Source organism: Homo sapiens, chromosome 10 (genome assembly GCF_000001405.40).
Source record: "Homo sapiens chromosome 10, GRCh38.p14 Primary Assembly".
Classification (NCBI taxonomy): Eukaryota; Metazoa; Chordata; class Mammalia; order Primates; family Hominidae; genus Homo; species Homo sapiens.
The window spans coordinates 108,323,251-108,325,156 of record NC_000010.11 but is presented as its reverse complement, the minus strand read 5'-3'; the positions used below and the strand labels follow the sequence as shown (position 1 = coordinate 108,325,156).

General features: G+C 38.1%; 1 annotated feature.

Annotated features, from left to right (window-relative positions):
• Positions 1,378-1,906: an enhancer, noted in NCBI's record as "NANOG hESC enhancer chr10:110083009-110083537 (GRCh37/hg19 assembly coordinates)". NCBI's record gives its function as "activates a minimal SCP1, AML or CMV promoter by ChIP-STARR-seq in naive H9 embryonic stem cells {active_cell/tissue: H9 hESC(naive)}" and the evidence as "EXISTENCE:reporter gene assay evidence [ECO:0000049][PMID:30033119]".

The window sequence follows — 1,906 nt, the reverse complement described above, 5'->3', positions numbered from 1 at the left end:
CTTAGTGGAAGCCATGATATCTTCCTGTTGTGTGCTCTAGAATTTTGACTTCCCCCATGGTTTAATTACCAGTGCAGTCAGTTGAGCAATTGTAATTTGATATGTGACAGTGAATCTCAGCACCAAATGATGTGACATTCAGAAGCTATGGTGGAATCTCCAAAATATACTTCTTTGGTTTTGGTAGAAGGAAAAATGTGCTTTTCCATAGTTGAGACTCAAACAGCCCATACAAGCTGCTTTCCAGTTTCCTCGGGCTGTACTTTATTTTGCCAGCTCCTCTTTGGAAAAATCCCTAATTTGCTAACTGAGTTAAAGCTCAAAAATCTTTGTGTACCTTCAACTACCATCTATGAGTCAATTCTGTTCCTTGTCTAGTCACTTAACAAACACATTTCTTTTTATTCTTCAATGGAAAATGAGTAGGTAGGCAGAAAATAAGCTAAATATAAGATTGGGTGGAGAGAAGGGACACTGAGATCATTGTGCCTCCTTAGATATCTACTTCAAAGCAGTCTCACCAAAACCCTTTAGGCTTTACCATAGATAATAATGCACCATTGAACAATAGGCAATTGCTGGATCAGGTGACTTATGGTAACAGGTCCTTTTCCTCCCCACCTTACTTAAAAACAAATCTCATTATAATGGAAATGGACTGGTTGAATGAGCTCCAATTGCAACTAGCCTCCAAAAATCATTTTATAGCTGCTTTGAATCTGGCCATTTTAAAGCAAATCCTCCAGATAAATTTCTCAATCCATCTCCATAAAATAACTAGTGATTATTAAAGGGATAATTATTTCTAATAACTCCTCATCATATAGAATTATAAAATTATACCTCTCTTGGATATTTAAATTATATTGGGCATGTCTTCATAATTATAAATATACCCCTGCCATTTTCTTCATTTTGAGGAAAATCTCTCCAGATAGCACTTATTTATTTCTTATCATCAAATATTCAAAGACTGTGTCTAGGAAACATTAAAACAAGTCTAATAGGGTGGAAATATATTTTATTTTCAATTTAATGATAACATTAATAGCATCAATGAAGGAAGAAATGAAATAGAAAGAAAGTCATCCTTAATGAAATTCTAATACCTTGAGTTTCCTGTAAATTTTTTCTGAAGAATGAATGAAAGCAGAGTTCATGCAGCAAAGATCCCTGACTGTACTTTGCTGACACTTTAGTAACTAACATCTGCTCCTGCTAAGCATTTTCTCCTTTTGCTCCCACTTTATTTCCATTCTTCTGTTCATCCTCCTCTTCCTTTATTTTATCTTGTAACTAACTCATGCTTCATCTCCTTTCTATATACAATATCATTTTTTTCCACAGAATCAGATACAGGAGATAGATAGATAGATAGATAGATAGATAGACAGACAGACAGACAGACAGACAGACAGATATCCAATAGTCCAGGGCATTGAGACTTTCCTTGTGGAGAGGGTTAGATCACTTTCCTGTGGGTCATAATGTCAAATCTCAAGTGAGGCAGGAGATTAGGGTCTGGAGGCAGAGAACTTAAGCCAATTAACACAAACTTCCTAAAGCTAAAGCAGAAGGAAAACCCCCATCTCCCCACTCCAAGTAACAAAGGATCAAAGGCTACTCTCCCTACAACCCTCCTCCTTCCACTATGTCTCAGGTGGAAAGGGAGAGTGCCTTCAATTGGCCATGGTCCAAGCAGGGACCATCCCTTTATCTGCATAGGGTGCCAATTCCCCTCAGGGTTTAATTAGTCACAGACAAATCCTTCATCCAGATAAGGAGTAGGGGATAAGAGCCTCACAAGGCGTACTTAAAGCCCAGAAAACTTTGCAGTGCGGCCCTTGAGCCCCTTGCTCGGGCCCACTCCCACCCTGTAGAGTGCTCTCTCATTTTCATAAATCTC